Source organism: Homo sapiens, chromosome 8 (genome assembly GCF_000001405.40).
Source record: "Homo sapiens chromosome 8, GRCh38.p14 Primary Assembly".
NCBI lineage: Eukaryota > Metazoa > Chordata > Mammalia > Primates > Hominidae > Homo > Homo sapiens.
Genome location: NC_000008.11, coordinates 23,025,038 through 23,044,914, shown reverse-complemented (window position 1 = coordinate 23,044,914; position 19,877 = coordinate 23,025,038). Strand labels below are relative to the sequence as shown.

At 44.8% G+C, this 19,877-nt stretch overlaps 1 protein-coding gene across 3 annotated transcripts in view, besides 2 other annotated features; it reads left to right on the top strand.

Moving 5' to 3' along the window:
- TNFRSF10B (TNF receptor superfamily member 10b) overlaps positions 1 to 19,877 on the top strand; it is a 48,899-nt gene that overhangs the window by 24,117 nt on the left and 4,905 nt on the right. The window contains exons 2-8 of one of the 3 annotated variants that reach the window (NM_147187.3): positions 1,672 to 1,777; positions 14,043 to 14,156; positions 15,194 to 15,305; positions 16,313 to 16,386; positions 16,474 to 16,584; positions 17,162 to 17,193; positions 17,627 to 17,782. In NM_147187.3, coding sequence (NP_671716.2) covers positions 1,672 to 1,777; positions 14,043 to 14,156; positions 15,194 to 15,305; positions 16,313 to 16,386; positions 16,474 to 16,584; positions 17,162 to 17,193; positions 17,627 to 17,782 — 705 coding nt within the window. Of the gene's footprint in view, positions 1 to 1,671; positions 1,778 to 14,042; positions 14,157 to 15,193; positions 15,306 to 16,312; positions 16,585 to 17,161; positions 17,194 to 17,626; positions 17,783 to 19,877 lie in introns of all 3 variants that reach the window. The other 2 variants (NR_027140.2, NM_003842.5) reach the window with 2 other exon arrangements.
- Positions 15,669 to 16,169: an enhancer, noted in NCBI's record as "H3K27ac hESC enhancer chr8:22886259-22886759 (GRCh37/hg19 assembly coordinates)". NCBI's record gives its function as "activates a minimal SCP1, AML or CMV promoter by ChIP-STARR-seq in primed H9 embryonic stem cells {active_cell/tissue: H9 hESC(primed)}" and the evidence as "EXISTENCE:reporter gene assay evidence [ECO:0000049][PMID:30033119]".
- Positions 16,170 to 16,670: an enhancer, noted in NCBI's record as "H3K27ac hESC enhancer chr8:22885758-22886258 (GRCh37/hg19 assembly coordinates)". NCBI's record gives its function as "activates a minimal SCP1, AML or CMV promoter by ChIP-STARR-seq in primed H9 embryonic stem cells {active_cell/tissue: H9 hESC(primed)}" and the evidence as "EXISTENCE:reporter gene assay evidence [ECO:0000049][PMID:30033119]".

The window sequence follows — 19,877 nt, the reverse complement described above, 5'->3', positions numbered from 1 at the left end:
TAATTTATTTGTCTTCTTTCTTTTTTCTTAGTTAGTCTAGTTAAAGTTTAGTGATTTCATTTATTTTTTCAAAAAACTAACAGAATTTTGATAATCTTTTGTATTTTTTTCAGTCTCTATTTATTTTTGCTCTGATTTTTATTATTTCTTTTGTTCTGCTAACTGTGGGCTTAGTGTATCTTTTCTTCTATTTCCTTGAGGTACAACATTAAGTCTTGTATTTGAGATCTTTCTTCTTTTTTGATGTAGGCGTTTATTGCCATTTCCTCTTAAAACTGCTTTTGCTGCATCCCATACATTTGGTTATGTTATGTTTCCATTTCATTTTCTAATATACTCTTAAAATTCCCTTTTGATTTCCTCTTTGACACATTGGCTATTCAGGAGCTTGTTACCATTCAAGTTCTTTGTTCATTTCTTAATCACATTGTTGGCTTTTTGTTGTTGTTGTTGAGTTGGAGTTTTTTATATATTTTAGATATTAACCTTTTATCAGATATACAACTAGCAAATGTTTTCCTCTTCCTGTGGGTTGCCCCTTCACTGTTGATCATCATTGGATGCACAAAAGTTTTTAATTTTTACATAGTGCAATTTATCTACTTTTTTTCCTATATTGCTTGTGTTTTGGGGATCACATTCAAGAAATCATTGCCAAATCCAAGGTCAGGAAGAATAGTTCCTATGTTTTCTTCTAAGTTTTAGGGTTTTCACTTTTATGTTAGATTTTGGATCCATTTTGAGTTAATTTTTGTATACGTGTAAGTTAAAGGTCCGAGGTCATTGTTTTGTGATGAGTCAATGTCTAGATTTCCCAAGACCATTTTTAAAAAGATTGTCCTCTCAATTAAATGGTCTTTATACCTTTGCCAAAAATTACTTGATCATATACAGTCATGCACCACATAACAACATTTCTGTCAACAACAGACTGCATATGTGATGGTGGCTCCATGCAATTATGTAACATGCTACACAGGTTTGTAGCCTAGGAGCAAAAGGCTATACCATATAGGCCAGGTGTGTCATAGGATACACCATCTAGGTTTGTGTAAGTACACTCTTCTGATGTTCACACAACACAATTGCCTAATGACCCTTTGCTCAGAACAATGTTGAGCAATACATGGTTGTACGTGCAAGTTCATTTCTGGGCTCTCTGGTCTATATGTCAGGCACCTTTTAAATCAGAAGTTCACTATTTAATGTTTGATCCTGTATCCCAATTTTTTAAGTTTGCTATATTATAACCCCCATTTATAAAAATGTGTGTCTGTGTGTATGTCTGTGTGAGAGAGAATAAGAGAAAGAGAGAAAGAGAGAATAGGCATACCTATGGAAAAATAGTGGAACTAAATGAGACAAAATATTAATGGATGCTATCTTTAGCTGAGAATATCACGTGTGGTCTGTGTATTCTTGTAAAAACTTTCCTTGCCCACATTTTCTGGAATGAACATGTTTAGAAGAGTTTTGCAGGTGTATGTTACTTGGCCTTCCCTGAAATATGAAGGGACAAACAAACACTAAAGGATGTTTGAGAGGTGAGAGCTGCAAGAAAGATGAGGGTTCTGTTTAGCTTGGGTGCCTGGGCTCAAGAGAATGTGAGTGGATCCTGGGAGGGGTGAGGTCTGGAAGCCACTCATGCCCATCCCTGCTTTGTCCCCACAGGTCTCAGCTGAGTCTGCTCTGATCACCCAACAAGACCTAGCTCCCCAGCAGAGAGCGGCCCCACAACAAAAGAGGTCCAGCCCCTCAGAGGGATTGTGTCCACCTGGTATGTTCAAGATGGGTCTCTAATCCTTGCCCCTCCTCCCCTTGTCTCCATGAGCTTCCAGTCTGTTTCCTTTGCACTTCCTTGTTCTTTATTCCACAGAGAGGCATTGGGTGCCTCCAGTTCAAGGCTCTGTCCTTCTGGAGCCTTCCTGCTAGGATGGTATCAAGACACACAAATGAATGAGACAGCCAAAGAAACTGATAGGAACCTTGAGAGAGAATTGAGTGGGACAGAGATGGGGCTGGTGAGGCCTCCAGGCAATGGTGACTTTGGGCTGACATCCGGAGGAGGGCAGGGCCAGAGGTTCAGAGAGCCAGGAAGAGTGCTCCTAGGAGGGTTCCACTGGAACAATTGCCAGGGGGCAAGAGTTGGAGAAGATGGAGCAACAGCAGGGGGCTGCTGTGGGGAGTGGAGGGTTAGGAAGTTAGAGAGACACGTGGGGTCAGATCCCACACAGATGAAGCTGGATTTTATTTCATGAGTGATGGATGTCCCTGAGAAGTTTTCAGCAGAGGGCCACCAGCATCGGATGTACATCTTGAGTGCCCACTCCTGGACTGAACCGGAGCAAGACAGGAAGCAGGTGGAGGGCCTTGAGTGTGAGGCGCTCCCCTGGGATGTTATGTGGTGTCCCGTAAGGTCATTTGAGCCCCCAGAGATGCAGCAGGAACCTGGCCTGAAGTGTGCTTGACTGTTGTGTTCGCCTCGCACTTCTTCCCCCTTTTCCCCCATGTGTATGAGTTAGGAATTGATTGCTGCATGAAGGTTTCCAGGGCAGGCAAGTGTGGCAAGCAGTGGCTTTTAAAATCCATTTACAAAGTTGCATTTCTTTTCCATGACTAAGGGCCACAGGAAAGGCTTGCCTGAGGGCAAACCCTCACATTGCACATGTGGGCTTGCCAGGAGCAGAGCATGGAGAAGGAAGAACCCAGCGTGAAGCAGACACAAACTCATCTGTAAATGCTCCTATTGCTGTGGTCCAGGGTCAAGACCAGGAAGCAGGACGGGAATAGGAAGGACTCAAGACATATTTGGGGTGTGGATGGATGACGTGTGGGGAATGAGGACAATCGAGGCACCAAATTCAACTGCTCAGGGTAACTTGGCCTCTGAGGGGACAGTGTGTGGCAGGGCTAGCAGTACACATTTGGGGACCCTAGCACATAGGTGATGCTTGAAGCCGCTGTCTTGAGTGTGTCCACCTGGAAGAAGTTGTAAATACTGAGGAGGGGCACAACTGAGCCCATGAGGATTTGAAGTTGGAGACGATAGGCCAGGGAGACAGGACTGCAATGGGCTGAGCAGGAGCAGTTGGAGAACTTCCATCCTAGAGGAGAGATGGCCCTTCCAGCCACAGGGAGCAGGCCATAGCAAGTGTCAAGGACTGAGATGTGGAAACTCCTCGAAATGTGCATTTCTCTTCCTGTGAATGAGGTCAAGAATCTGTTCATGACACAGACACTGTTTGTACACTGGTTCTCCTAGGTTTTCTTCACTCCTAGTAAGAGGTTAGGTTTTTTTTTTTTTTTTTTTTAAATCATTGAGTCACATGAATTCTTACAGATTAGGGAAATTATACATTGATTGATTGATTGATTGACTGATTGAGATAGGATTTCACTCTGTTGCCCAGGCTGGAGTGCGGTGGCAGGATCATAGCTCACTGTAGCCTCAACCACTTGGGCTCAAGCGATCCTCTCACCTCGGCCTTCCAAAGTGTTGGGATTACAGGCGTGAGCCACTGCGCTGGGTCCAAAATTCTAATAAAAATTCCCATATAACGCCGGGCGCAGTGACTCACACCTGTAATCCCAGCACTTCGAGAGGCCAAGGTGGGCAAATCACTTGAGGCCAGGAGTTTGACACCAGCCTGACCAACATGGCGAAACCCTGTTTCTACTAAAAATACAAACATTAGCTGGGTATAGTGGCGTGCCTGTAGTCCCAGCTACTTGGGAGGCTGAGGCAGGAGAATCGCTTGAACCCGGGAGGCAGAGGTTGCAGTGAGCTGAGATCACGCCATTGCACTTCAGCCTGGGTGACAGAGTGAGACCCTGTCTCAAAAAAAAAAAACAACAAAAAAAAAATTATCATATATCTTTGCAGTCATTTTGTGGTTTCCTATTTTGTAATTAAGTCATTGAGCCACATGGACTTCATTTTGTAGTAAGAGGAGAGTGAGGAAGACACATTATTATTTGACAGCCACCTTTTTGGTTGCCCCAACACTATTATTAAATAATCACGTTTTTATCAGTGACATGAATCACTATGATTATGTATGATACTTACATTATTAAGTAAGGTTTGTGTAATTTGGATTTTTTAGAATGTCTTTCAATATTAATAAAAATAATTCAGGAATCTTGTGGCTAGCATATAGGTGATTATGGTCTATTTTTTGCGTTTGTTTTTACTCATTCTGCCACTCTCTGCCTTTTAATTGCAGAGTTTAAACTATTTTCAATTAACATAGTTATTGACAAGAAAAGATTTGTTTCTGCTCTTCAGTTATTTGTTTTCTTTATGTCTTATATATATTTTGTTCCTCCCTTATCACCTTTTGAAAAAACTTTAGTTTATTTCTTGGCATGTACCATTTTCACTCACTTCTTTTCTTTTCTGCATATTTTAAAATATATTTTCTGTTTTTCTTAAATATATATTTTGTGTATATATATTTAATAAATATATATTTTGTATATATATATTTAATAAATATATATTTTGTATATATATTTAATAAATATATATTTTGTATATATATTTATTAAATATATATTTTGTATATATTTAATAAATATATATTTTGTATATATATTTATTAAATATATATTATATATATTTAATAAATATATATTATATATATATTTAATAAATATATATTTAAATATATACTTAGTATATATCTTAAAGATACATATCTTAAATATATATATAGATATATATATATTTTTTGAGACAGGGTCTGCTCTGTCACCCAGGCTGGAGTGCAGTGGTGCGATCTCAGCTCACTGCAGCCTATGGCTGCTGGGTTTAAGCGATTTTCCTGCCTCAGCCTCCTGAGTACAGGGAGTAGCCACCATGCCTGGATAATTTTTGATTTTTAGCAGAGACAGGGTTTTACCATGTTGGTCAGGCTGTCTCAAACTCCTGACCTCAAGTGATCCACCTGCCTCGGCCTCCCAAAGTGTTGGGATTACAGGTATGAGCCACGCACCTAGCCTAAAACTTATTTTCTTACTGGTTTCCTTGAAGATTACAATTACCTTCTTAAGTATCTAAACAGGTAGTTTTATAATACCGGCAGAATTTCATTGCAATCCAAATACTGTGCTCCTGTACCACTCCATCTCTCCAGCTTTCTATTGTTGCTGTCATAGATCACATCCTTGCACGTTGTGTGACCACTGACGTCGATCTTAAGGACATGTATGTGTATGGAGCAAGGTTGACTTGTGATGGTTGATTTTATGTGTCAACTTGGTTACCCAGATACTTGGCCAAATATTATCCTAGATGTTTCTGTGAAGGTGTGTTTGTTGTTGTTGTTTTGTTGTTGGTTTTAGATGGGATTAACATTTAAATCAGTGGGCTTTGAGTCAAGCAGATTACCCCCTTAATGTTGGCAGGTCCCATCTAATCAGTTGAAAGCCTCAATAGAAAAAAGACTGACCTCCACCAAGAAAGAGGGTGTTCTGCCAGCAGGCAGCCTTCAGACCTGAGCTGTGACTCTTCTCTGCTGGCCTATCCTGTACCTTTTGAATTTGCCAGCCTCCACAGTTATGTGAACCAATTCCTTAAGATAAATCTTTATCTCTCTAGAGCAGGGGCCCCTGACCCCCAGGCCATGGACCAGTACTGGTCCGTGGCCTGTTAGGAACCAGGCCACACAGCAGGAGGTGGGCTGTAGATGAGTGAGCATTACTGCCCGAGCTCTGCATGCCGTCAAATCAGCGGCAGCATTAGACTTCATAGGAGCGTGAACCCTATTGTGAACTCCACATTTGAGAGATCTAGGTTGCGCACTCCTTATGAGAATCTAATGCCTGATGATCTGTCACTGTCTCCCATCACCCCCAGATAGGACCATCTAGTTGCAGGAAAATAAACTCAGGGCTTCCACTGATTCTACGTTATAGTGAGTTGTATAATTATTTCATTATATGTTACCATATAATAGTGATAGAAATAAAGTGCACAATAAATGTAACATGCTTGAATCATCCTGAAACCATCCCCATGCCCCCAACTCCAGTCCGTGGAAAAATTGTCTTTCAGGAAACCAGTCCCTGGTGGCAAAAATGTTGGAGACCCCTGCTCTAGAGAGCCCTGACTAATACAGAATTTTTAAAGATTTGAAATTCTTTTAAACCATACTTGATCTCCAAGTAATGGAAATAATAAGATTATATTTCCACCTAACATAATACAGCTATCCTGTATACAACTGAAAACGCACTAACCCTTTCTCCAGAAGAGGATGCAAAGTTCTTGAGTGGTGTTTACTCCTTTCCTTGATACCCTGGAACATAAATACTATAAAGTGAACAATACTTAAATACTATGATATAAATTCAAAATATCTTGTGTTACATAACAAGGGGATAAGAGAAGGAAGAAAACACAGATATTCGCTTAACATATATTTACACATAAACACACACACATAACACAATAAGGAAGAAATACTTATAATGATTACAGTCCTTATTTCCATAGCTGGTCATGTCATTGTAGCTGGTATTTATAAGAAGCTTCTTTCGCTGTGCATTCTGTATTCCCTGTGCCCTCACTAAGCACCTCAGCTGGTCATGGCTCTGTGCCTGGTAGAGTGAACTAACCTTTATTCCTGAAGGGTCTGAGCTATAAGTGGTCCTGCTTTAATAGGGTCGTGGTAGTTTTCCATTGACTTTACTCACAGGGCATGGTAATACTAAGAGATGCCCTAAGGAATCTCCTGTATTCTAGACATCCTCTTCCTTACGTCCATTGTGGAATAACAGTCCAATTTTCCCTTCAATTTCCCCTTTGTGTTCAGAATCAGTCAATCCAGCCAGCAGGGTTTGTGTAACTGGTTTTCGCCTGTTGATTCAGAGGCATGAGGAACCCAAAGTGGCCAAGTGGCAGTCTTCAAGTTACACAGAATCACTGTTGTGTCTCCTCATGGAATCATTCCTCCCTCTGAAACTCAGAGCTCTAGCAAAGCATAAAGCAGCAAAAATTTTGATAACAGGCCACTAAGGGTAATGTGGAGTGGGGCCATTCCTGCTTCCACCCCTAGATTCCTGGACACATGAATCCTAGCAATGGAAGAAGCAACCGCATGTATTGGAGGATAATTCAGAGCATAGACAGTCTCCTGGAGAACCTTGTTGCAGCCCTTCAAGGTACTGCCACCCAGCTGACATTGTAAATGAGTTTTCAAAAAGCCATATCCCACCATCTTACCAAGCCAGCAGTTTTGAGATGGTGGGGAACATGGTAAGACCAGTAATTCCATGAGCACAGGCCCATTATAGTGGGCGCTTCATTTGCCATCAAGTGAGTCCCTCAATCAGAAGCAATGCTGTGTGAATACCATGACTGTGGATAAGGCATTCTGTGAGTCCACAGAGGATAGTTTTGACAGAAGCATTGCATGCAGGGAAGGCAAGTCTATGTGCAAAATAAGCTTCTCTTCCAGTAAAAATGCTGCCCCCTCCATGATAGAAATGGTTCAGTGTAATAATCAACCTGCCACCAGGTAGCTGGCAGACTGACCCTCTGAATGGTGCTATATCAGAGACTCAGTGTTGGACTCTGCTGCCTATAGATTGGGCACTCAGTAGCAGCTGTAGCCAGGTTGGCCTTGGTGAGGGAAGTCTGTATTGTTAAGCCCATACATAACCTCCATCCCTGCCACCATGCACACTTTGTTCATGAGCCCATTGAGTGATGACAAGGATGGCTGGGAAAGAAGCTGACTGGTAGTCACAGAACAGGTCATCCTATCCACCTGATTATTAAAATCCTTCCCTGCTAAGATCACTTTTTGTGAAGATATTTGTGTCACATGGGGCACAAATATCTTCATGGTTTTTTTACCCATTGAGAAAGGTCTATCCACACACCTCTTCCCCAGACTTCCTTGTTATCAGTTTTCCTTCAGAGCCTCTGACCCTCCAGCCAAATCATTGACCACAGCTCATGAATCAGTATATAACTACATGTCTAGCCATTCTTCCCTCAAGCAAAATGAACAACCAGGTGTACTGCTCAGAGTTCTGCCCAGTGGCAGGATCTCTTTTTTTTGAGACGGAGTTTCGCTATTGTTGCCCGGGCTAGAGTGCAATGGGGCGACCTCGGCTCACTACAACCTCTGCCTCCCGGGTTCAAGTGATTCCCCTGCCTCAGCCTCCCAAGTAACTGGGATTACAGGCATGTGCCACCATGCTCGGTAATTTTGTATTTTTAGTAGAGACGAGGTTTCACCATGTTGGTCAGGCCAGTCTCGAACTCCTGACCTCAGGTGATCCACTCACCTCGGCCTCCCAAAGTGCTGGGATTACAGGTGTGAGCCACCACACCCGGCCTAGCGGATTTCTTTTCACCACTGTCCTTCAGGGACGTCCCAGACAGTGGATGTGATGCTGCAAACATCCACTTCTAAGGGTTACCTGTATGTGGTGCAGAACCATCTGTAAACCTTCTTCTGGCAACTGACCATAGGGAATTCCTCATGAGGCCATAAGTGCAGGCCAGGCAAAAGAAAGTAATATTGCAGGAGTGGGGATCATGGGCACTTGGGCCACTTCTTCATGTAACTTTCTTGTGCCTTCAGGGCCTATTTAAGCCCAATTTTGTATATATACCAATTACATTTGAAAATGGAAATGGAAACTTTAGGCTGTATGTGCCCAAACTTATGGCTTGGTAGGCAAAATAACACTCAGTTCACGATGAGCAGTCAGGTCGTAGAGTAATTTGGTGGCCTATGGTTAACCATTCAGTCTGCACTAAGGCCCAGAAACAAGCCAAGAGCTGTTTCTCAAAAGGAGAGTAGTTATCTGCAGAGGATGGCAAGTCTTTGCTCCAAAACCTAAGGGCCTGTGCTGTGGTTGACCTAGAGTGGGCTACTAAAGGTTCAAAACAGCATTGCTGTCTGCCACCAATACTTCAAGCACCGTTGGGTCTGCTGGGTCGTATGGCCCAAGTGACAGAAAAATGTCTACGGCAGCCTGGACCTGTTGCAGAGCCTTTTCTTGTTCTGAGCACCACTCAAAACTAGCACATTTTTAGGTGACTTGATAAATAGGCCAGAGAAACACACCCAAATGAGGAATATGTTGCCACCAAAATCAAAATAAGCACACTAGGCATTGTGTCATTTTCTTGGTTGTAGGGAGGTGGGGGTGGCAGATACAACAATTTATCTTTTATCTTAGAATATCTTAGAAGAGAAGGAATATCTTATGTGCCACATCATTCAACAACTAGGAATTTGTTTCCCAGTTGTTGTCCTTCTACTGAGGTAAAAGGCCCTTGAAATTTTGTCAGATTTATTTCCCACCCCCTGACATGCAAATGTCTTACCATTAAGTCTAGAATAGTTGCTACTTCTTGCTCGTGAGGTTCAATCAGTATAATGTCATCAGTATAATGGATCGTCTTGTGTGTTATCTTGTGGAAGGGAAAGGCCATCAATATCCCTGCAGGCCAGATGTGGTGGCTCGCGCCTGTAATCCCAGCAGTTTGAGAGGCCAAGGTGGCTGGGTCACTTGAGACCAGGAGTTCTAGACCAGCCTGGCCAACATGGTGAAACCTCATCTCTACTAAAAATACAAAAATTAGTTGGATGTGGTGGCACACATGGGTAATCCCAGCTACTTGGGAGGCTGAGGCATGAGAATCGCTTGAACCCAGGAGGTGCAGGTTGCAGTGAGCTGAGATCATGCCACTGCACTCCAGCCTGAGAGACAGAGCAAGACTCTGTTTAATTAAAAAAAAAAAAATACCTGCAAACTAAATTATGACATAGGGCTGCGAGTTGATGCATCCCGGAGACAGGATAGTGAGGGTATATTGCTGGCCTTGCCAACTGAAAGCAAACTGCTTCTGGGAGTCTTTATTGACAGGTATGACCAACAAAGCATTTGCCAGTTCAACACCTGCATACCAGGGTACCAGGGATGTGGCGATTTGCTCAAACAATGAAACCATATCTGGGACAGTTATAACTGGAATCACCACCTGGTTAAGCGTATGATAATCCACTGTCATTCACCAAGATCCATCTGTCTTTGGCACAGGCCAAATAGTCAAGTTCAATGGGCATGTGATGGGAATCACCACAGATGCATCCTGGATGGTGGTAATGATCTCTGCAATCCCTCCAGGAATGTTGTATTGCTTTTGTTTTTTTGTGCTTTACAGGCAGGGTATCACTCTGTCACCCAGGCTGGAGTGCAGTGGCACAATCATAGCACACTGCAGCTTGAACTCCTGGGCTCAGGCAATCCTCCTGCCTCAGCTTCTTGAGCAGCTAAGACTACAGGCATGTACTGTCATACCTGGATAATTTTGTATGTGTGTGTACAGATGGAGTCTCACTGTGTTGCCCAGGCTGGTCTTAAACCCCTGGCCTCAAGTAATCCTCCTGCCCTGACCTCCCAATGTGCTGGAATTACAGACATGAGCCACCATGCCCATCTGGTATTGCTTTTGATTTACTATTTTTTTTAAGTAAATGCAAATCTGGTGGCTTCCACCTGGTCTTTTCCACCATAATAGTCTTCACTTCACATGTCAGGGAATGAAGGTGGGGATTGTGCCAGCTGCTGAGTATGTCTATTCCAATTACACATACTAAAATGAGGAAATCAGACAGGATGGGTGTGGGGACCCACTGGCCCCTTTCTGAGATGGACTTGAGCTTAGTTTGAGTAATGACAACATAACTTCAATGGTATGCAAACACTGTGCTCCTGTACTTCTCCGTCTTTCCTCCTCCATCTTGTTGTTATAGATCACATCCTTGTACATTGTGTGCCCATTAACATCAATTTGTAATTATTGTTTTCTGCATTTGCTCTTTAAATCATATAAGTAAATAAGAGGATTTACAAACCAAATGTACCATAATACTGTGCTACAGACTGAATTGTGTCCCCAAAATCATATGTTGAAGCATTACCATCCAATGAGATGGTATTTGGAGATGGTGCCTTTGGGAAGTAATTGGGTTTAGATGAGGTCATGAGGGTGGGGCCCTCATGATGGGATTAGTGCCTTTTTAAGAAAAGACCCAGACAACTTGCTCTCTCTCGCTTGCTCGCTCTCTCTCTCCCCCCCTCTTCTGGTGTGTGCAAGGAAGAGGTTACGCAAATGCACAGCAAGATGGTGGCCATCTCTAGAACTATGATAAATAAATGTCTATTGTTTAAGCCACTTGGTCTATGGTATTTTATTATAGCAGCCTAAGTAGCTGCGTACCAGCATTTATATTTACCTAAATAGTTACCTTTTCCAGGGTTCTTTTTTTTTTTTTTTTTTTTTTTTTTTTTTTTTTTTGAGACGGAGTCTCGCTGTCGCCCAGGCTGGAGTGCAGTGGCGTAATCTCGGCTCACTGCAGGCTCCGGCCCCTGGGTTTCACGCCATTCTCCTGCCTCAGCCTCCCGAGTAGCTGGGACTACAGGCGCCCGCCACCTCGCCCGGCTAATTTTTTTTTGTATTTTTAGTAGAGACGGGGTTTCACCGTGTTAGCCAGGATGGTCTCGATCTCCTGACCTCGTGATCCGCCCGCCTCGGCCTCCCAGAGTGCTGGGATTACAGGCGTGAGCCACCGCACCCGGCCTCCAGTGTTCTTTATCTCTTCGTATGCCTTTGAGCTATTATCTAATGTCATTACATTACCTCCTAAAGGATTCCTTTTAGCATTTCACAGGGCAGATCTACTAGTAATGTGCTCCATTACCTTTCATTTATCTAAGAAGGTCTTAATTTCTTCTTCATTCTTGAATGATAATGTTCCTGGATATCAAATTCTTGGTTGCAGGATTTTGTATGCTTGTGTTTTTGTTTCTTGGCACTTTAAATATGTTACCCACTCCCTTCTGGGCTCTATGGTTCCTGGTGAGAAATTAGCTAATAACCTTATTGAGGTTCCCTTGTACATACTGAGTGGGCCACTTGCTACTTTCAGGATTTTCTGTTGGTGTTGGGCTTTTGTCCATTTGACTATAATGTGTCTCAGTGTAGTTCTCTTTTAACTTATCCTGCTTGGAGATCATTGAGTTTCTTGGATGTGCAGACAAATGTTTTTTAAAAGTCTTGCACCTCCTTGTTAAATATCATTCCTAAATGTTTTATTCATTTTTATGTCATTGTCAATGAAATTGTTTTCTTAATTTCCTTTTTGGATTGTTCTTTGCTACTGCAAAACTTTTACGCTGAAAACTATCAAACATTGCTGTAAGAAATTTTAAAAAAGCAAAATAAACAGGAAGATATTCCATGTTCATAGATCAAAATGGTGTTAAATTACCCAAAGCAATATACAGATTCAATGAAATCCCTACCAAAATCTCAGTGGTGTTATTTTAAAAATGGAAGAACTTATATTCAAAGTCGTATGGAATTAAAAAGACTTATTGACCAAAAACAATCTGGTAAAAGAAAAGCAGAGTTGGCGGGACTCACACTTTCCAATTTTGAAACATATCCTCATTCCAGGGCAGCTTTAGTCCCCTTTTCTTTGGATCATTCTTTGACTCTATAGAGATTCCTCCCGTTTTCTTCCCATGGCTGATGGTGTGAGCTTTAATTTTGAAGGCTTTTCCCATTGTTGTATGACTTCTGCTCCTGGTGTATCTTCCACTGGCTAGGAGCTCATTCAGAACAGGTATTAGGACATTCTTCTGTGCATTTTAAAGGTCTAAGATGGCACTGTCTAATATAGTAGTCCCTAGGCCCATGTGATTGCCAATCACTTGAAATATGTGAGGCAGGTGGATCACGAGGTCTGGAGTTCGAGAACAGCCTGGCCAAGATGGTGAAACCCCGTCTCTACTAAAAACACAAAAATTAGCCGGGTGCGGTGGTGGGTGCCTGTAATCCCAGTTACTCGGGAGGCTGAGGCAGGAGAATCACTTGAACCCAGGAGGCAGAGGTTGCAGTGAGCCGAGATCGCTGCACTCTAGCCTGGGCAACAGAGCAAGACTCCGTCTCAAAAAAAAAAAAAAAAATGCTACTGCAAATTGAGATGTGCCATGAGTTAAAATATACGCAGGATTTGAAGACGTACTGTGAAAAAAATGCTGTAAAATATCTCAATGTTTTATGTGGATTACATATTTAAGTGATATTATCTGGGGTACATTAAATTAAAATGCATTATTAACATTAATTTCACCCCTTCTCACCTTTTTTAATGTGCTGAGTGTGGATTTAAATTTCATATGTGGGCTGGGCACAGTGGCTGACACCTGTATTCCTAGCACCTTGGGAGTCCAAGGAGAGTGAATCACTTGAGCCCAGGAGTTTGAGACCAGCCTAGGCAACATGGTGAAACCTCGTCTCTACAAAAAAAAAGTACACTAAAAATTAACCCGGTGTGGTGGTGTGCACCTGTAGTCCCAGCTATTTGTGGGTCGGGGGGAGAGGGAGGGTCCGGGAGGTCGAGGGTGCAGTGAGCTGAGATCACACCACTGCACTCCAGCCTGGGCTATAGAGCAAGACCCTGTCTAAATAAATAAATAAATAAATAAATAAATAAATAAATAGGCCGGGTGCAGTGGCTCACGCCTGTAATCCCAGCACTTTGGGAGGCCTAGGCAGGCAGATCATGAGGTCAGGAGATCGAGACTAGCCTGGCCAATACGGTGAAACCCTGTCTCTACTAAAAAAATACAAAAATTAGCCAGGTGTGGTAGTGTGTGCCTGTAATCCCAGCTACTCAGGAGGCTGAGCCAGGAGAATCTCTTGAACCCAGGAGGCGGAGGTTGCAGTGAGCCGAGATCACGCCACTGCACTCCAGCCTGGGTGACAGAGTGAGACTACGTCTCAAAAATAAAAAATAAAATAAATAAATGTGTGGCTTATATTTCTTTTGGCAGTGCTGGTTTAAGGTGTGTAAATGCAGAATTGATGAACTGACCAAGCTAGGTAGAGGAGATTTCCCTCTTTTGGTTCCACACATCCCTGAAAGAGGAGTCCCCCAGCCACCACTGCCAGCTTCTGGGAATCCTGTGGCATTTCATTCACCGGCTTTTCTCTCCCCTCCCAGGACACCATATCTCAGAAGACGGTAGAGATTGCATCTCCTGCAAATATGGACAGGACTATAGCACTCACTGGAATGACCTCCTTTTCTGCTTGCGCTGCACCAGGTGTGATTCAGGTACAGAACATATGGACCCCATGCCTAAAGGTGGAATGCGGGGTGATGACATAAAAGTTGTAGCTAAAATGGGATCAGGAGACCTAGATTCTGGTCCACCTTGGTCTTCATCATACCATGTTCCATGATTTTGTCTTTGAGCTTTTTAATAAATAAAACAGGCCCGGCACAGTGGCTCATGCCTGTAATCTCAACACTTTGGGAGGCATCACTTGAGCCCAGGAGTTTGAAACCATCCTGGGCAACATGAGAAACCCCGTCTCTACAAAAATATAAACATTAGCCGGGCATGGTGGCGCGTGCCTGTATTTCCAGCTACTTAGGAAGCTGAGGCAGAAGGATCTCTTGAGCCCAGGAGGCCGAGGTTGCAGGGAGCCGAGATTGTGCCACTGCATTCCAGCCCAGGCAACAGAGCAAAACCCTGTCTCAATAATTAATTAAAATAATAATAATACAGAAATTATTTGTATAATGTATGCTACATGGTAAGGAAATCTTTTAAACTGTCAGCTGCAAGGGGGTGGGGCCATGAGCCAGGCCAAGTGGACAGGGCTGGATCTCAGCAGTGGCACAGGTCTGCTTTGGGGCCAGGCTCTCTCCCCTGGGCTCTGTGCTCCTGGCAGGTGCTCGGCCTCACTCACCCTTCAGGTTCTCAGGCCTCTCCCTCCTCCCCAGCAGGCTGGGCCTTGGGGAAGTCCCCCAAGGGCTCCTCTCCTTGCAGTCTCTCAGGTGATCCCTTGCACTTCCCTTGCTACTGGCCATGCAATCTAAACGATGCTTGTCCCCTAAACGGTGCTTTCCCCTAATCTAATGTAATAAATAATGAACTGTGGTCCTTTTGTATGACTCAACGAGTGTTAGTGACAGCTGAAGGGTGGGTATCCTGAATGAGCCATGAGTGTGCTGGTGCAGAAACTGGCCCTCAGAACTCCTTGGCAAACTGAGTTGAGCTGAGTAGCAGGGTCTTGGGGTGGGGAGGAAGGGTCAAGGGACACATCAGGAAAACACATTCCCAAAACCTTATGCTCTGTCGTCAGGTGAAGTGGAGCTAAGTCCCTGCACCACGACCAGAAACACAGTGTGTCAGTGCGAAGAAGGCACCTTCCGGGAAGAAGATTCTCCTGAGATGTGCCGGAAGTGCCGCACAGGGTGAGACAGGAGCCGGGGGCTCCCAGTAGCTCCATGGAACCCCAAAAGACCCAAGTCTCCTTGTACCCCTGTCTCTCCCCTGACAGCACCCGCAAGGGGCATCCTTGAGGCTGTGGCTGCCCCTCCTGGTCCCTCTGCGTGTCACCACCCCTGCCCCCTGCAGCAGCCTCTTTCCACCCCTCCCCAGCACGAGTCCCCTTGACCAGGCTGACTTGTTCACTGACCACAGAAGGCCATGACTTGGGGCCCATGATAATTTTAGGGGCCCATGAAATGATTTAATTTCTCTTGAAATAAGAAGAATGAGTAGAATGCAGCCAGGCATATATTCATCTTTATACCAATTCAGCAATAAAATGTATTTTTTAATATTTTTATGCATGCAGGGGCCCATAAAGACAAAAGTGCCCATGGCCCACAAAAGGCATAATAAGGCCATGGGTGGAGCTCCTTCAAGTTCCCATGAGGACCTGAGCCCACCCAGCCGGCCTCACCCCTGGCCCCTGATCCCTCAGTAAGACCTGTCTTTTCCCTATTTGGGTTTTAGGGGCCAAGAGTAATTTGCTCTTCTCTGGCCCCCCTAGTATTTGCTGTGATTGGGGGAAATGGGCAGACAGCTGGGGACAAGAGCTCACTTTTGTGGTTGACTGGAAGACCGGACTCATCTTGTGGCCACACGGGCTTGTGACCTTCCCCTGGAGTGTGATTGCTCCTAACGCAGGCCTCCCCTGCAGCCCAGGGAAGCTCAGTGTGTGCCCAGCACAGAAGGCTCCTGGAACTGCAGCTCTGACCCCAGAGCAGGGAGGCCGAGGGGCTGAAGTGCGCATGCTCAGACCCTTCCCCAGCCTCAAGAAGGGAGCACAGGGGGACCCACTGCTGACACGAGGAGACTGTCCTTCCCCTGACACCTTCTCAGGGACACTGGGGAGGGAGGGTGGCTCCTCTTTCATCCCACCTGGCCAGCTTTCCATCAAGAGTCCCCCCTCTCCCTCTGTGTGTGTACCCAGGTGTCCCAGAGGGATGGTCAAGGTCGGTGATTGTACACCCTGGAGTGACATCGAATGTGTCCACAAAGAATCAGGTACAAAGCACAGTGGGGAAGTCCCAGCTGTGGAGGAGACGGTGACCTCCAGCCCAGGGACTCCTGCCTCTCCCTGTTCTCTCTCAGGCATCATCATAGGAGTCACAGTTGCAGCCGTAGTCTTGATTGTGGCTGTGTTTGTTTGCAAGTCTTTACTGTGGAAGAAAGTCCTTCCTTACCTGAAAGGCATCTGCTCAGGTAGGTGCTGGCTGAGGGCGGGGGCACAGGGCACTCTCTGCCCTGCCCCCTCCCACCCTATTCCCACAGACAGAAACGCCTGCCCCTGCCCCAAGTCTAAGTGCCTCCAGCCTGGCTCTATCCTCCTCCTCGTGGTCACCCCCATCCCCACATCCCGTGCACCCCCCAGGACCCTGGTCTCTTCAGTCCCTCTCCCAGGTCTGGGGGTCCCCATATCTCCCAGCCAAGTCCAGGAGGGCAGGGCCAGTTCCTCCCATCTTCAGGCCCAGCCAGGCAGGGGGCAGTCGGCTCCTCAACTGGGTGACAAGGGTGAGGATGAGAAGTGGTCGTGGGATTTTTTCAGCCTTGGTCAGAGCAGAACCAGAGATTTTCCAAGTGTTTGTTTTTACTCTAGTTCCCCTTCTCATCCCCCTTCCTCAGGGTGTCTCTGAGTTGTAAGGCCCCATTCTGTCCCCAGCCCCAGGGCTCCTTGTCCAGTGTCCCAGCCCCCAGCCCAGCCCTGCGCCCCACTGTCCTCTGGGAGGGGGGTGCTTCATGGGCCCCTCCCTTCCTGCTAAGGAGACTGCTTCTTTTTTAGGTGGTGGTGGGGACCCTGAGCGTGTGGACAGAGTGAGTTGATTTCTCCAGGAGCTGGGGGCTCAGGGGTTCAGGAACTGCTTCCTGGGACAGCAGAACCTGGGTGGGTGGGTCCCCATTGTCCTCATGGCTGCCCTGACTCTCTGAAGTGGCCTGGGTGCTCTGGGCTGACTGTGGGGGACACATGGCCATTTTGAGCACCACATAGGCTGGTGAGCCCTGCTGCAGCCCAGGTGACATCCTCACCCCACAGCCTGCACCCTAGGGATGGGGTGTCTGCCTGAGCACAGCACTGGGGGCCTGGCCCCAGCAGCGGGTCCTGGATGTGCTGAGTCTGGGCTGCCTGCGGTGACCTCACTGAGAGGGGGTGGGGATGTCAGGTGCAGCTGCATACTGAGGACCCTGCAGCGAGCCCTAGGTGTGGACTCCTGAGTCGGCTTTTTGCCTTCCCAATGTCTTTTTCCAGAGCTCACAACGACCTGGGGCTGAGGACAATGTCCTCAATGAGATCGTGAGTATCTTGCAGCCCACCCAGGTCCCTGAGCAGGAAATGGAAGTCCAGGAGCCAGCAGAGCCAACAGGTGTCAACATGTTGTCCCCCGGGGAGTCAGAGCATCTGCTGGTGAGTGGGGGACAGATCATTTTGTTTCCTGGCATGCTGCTCACCTGGGATTTCGTAGACAGTGGGAGAGGGCAGTGCCTTAGCTCTCCTGGCCCAGGGGAAATGGAACCTGAAGGAGCCAGGGGACTGCAGGGGATGGAGCAGCTGCACTGAGGTGGTGACCGTGCCAGTCTGCAGGACATCTGCTTCTTACTCCCTGTCCTGTCCTTGCTGTGTCCCCCGAGCCTGGAGCTCCACAGGCATAGAGTGGGGGTCACAGGGTTCATTGATGAGTGAATAAGGCTGCACAGTCTCCATCGTATGCTCCTAACAGAAGTCAGTGAGCCCTTGCTTGTAACAGCAGGAGTTTTAAATTTACTCTGAAATTGTTATTACATTGAACATATTTCAAAGTTCGTAGGGCAGCTTCCAAAAAGTAGGATTCCAAGTCGATGCACAAAGGGCTTTTGTATTGGACACACGCACACAATCAGTTCATATCAATCCATCAGTTTTGATGTGATATTGAGTAGGCAGGAAATCTGTATATACATTTATTGTTCATTGCTCGTAAGCACTGAAAGTCCTTCCCTCGAACATAAGATGAGACTATCCAGTTTCCTGCAGTGTTTTATTTTTAATGATTTGATTTTTAACATACAGCAATATAATCTAAACAGAATTGAATTTTCGATTCAATATAAGCTGAGAAACTCCCTGAATTATTCTGAGTCTCTGTTTCCTTCTTCCAAGCCCATTTAGCAACCAATTCTTCCTTTTTCCCTTGCCTTTGCCCTTTTGCCACCTCCTTTGCTACATGTCAAATGTTTACTTTTTTCTCTCTTCCTCTTCACTCTTTTTTAAAAAAACAAACAAACAAAAAAAAACTAGATCTTATCCTTGAAAATGTCAAATGTTTATATGGGCAGAGATCTCTTCCACCTAGACTGTTTCTGTTTCTTCCTTGCATCTGTACCACTTTCTTTTTAAATAAAGAGAAGAGATTTTAAAAGGAAACAAATGAACAATGCCAATACTTCCTCCATGCTTATTAATGACTTTGAAGATTTTTTTTTTTGAGACAGGATCTTGCTCTATCACCTGGGCTGGAGTGCAGTGGCACCATCTTGGCTCATTGCAACCCCTGCCTCCTGGGCTCATGTCATCCTCTCACCTCAGCTTCCTGAGTAGCTGGAACTATAGGCATGTGCCACCGTGCCCAGCTAAGTTTTGTATTTTTTGTAGAGACGAGGTTTGGTCATGTTGCCTAGGCTGGTCTCGAACTCCTGAACTCAGGCAATCCACCCTCCTTGGCCTCCCAAAATGCTGGGATTACAAGCATGAGCCACCATGCCTGGCCTGATCATTTTTTGAAAGCAGGTCACCCATAGCCACACATCCACCAGAGTATGAAAAAACTTGATCATACCAAGAGCCTTCTTTACTCTTTCCCAGCCTTTTGGCCCTTCTTATTTCAGGTAACTACAGTGGATAATTTCTTGTGATTCTTTGCTAAACTCTTTATGCATATACCATCTAGGTACATAAATGCATATGTATTTATGTGGTATTGACATGAAAAGGATTATATCATGTACAACACCAAACAAAACTGTCTAATATGTTTTAATATCTTAGACAGCAAATATGTTTTCAAAATTATTTTTACACATCTTATAATTTAGAATTAGATAAAATTTAGAATTATAAGATTTTCTCTAGTACCCCTCCCGCCCACATAGTCACTAGACTTTACAAATATTAATTTAAATTAATACATGGTTCTAGGAATGATTGACATCCTTTCAACATTCAATTTTATTATCAAAGAAGATAATATTTCAAGTCAAGTGTTCTATTATGACTCAATCGAGATTTGGGAGTTTATTTCAGATAAATTTTTCCTATTCCTCATCAAAGCTGTTTCTTTGCATTTTGGGTCTTCTTGTAAGTCCATTTTCTAATTTATTATGTCTGCTGCTACTTTTCTTTTCTTTCTTTCTGAGATGGGTCTCACTCTTGTCACCCAGGCTGGAGTGCAGTGGTACAATCATGGCTCACTGCAGCCTTGACCTTCTAAGGCCAAGTAAGCTCGGACTTACCGGCTTCTGAGTAG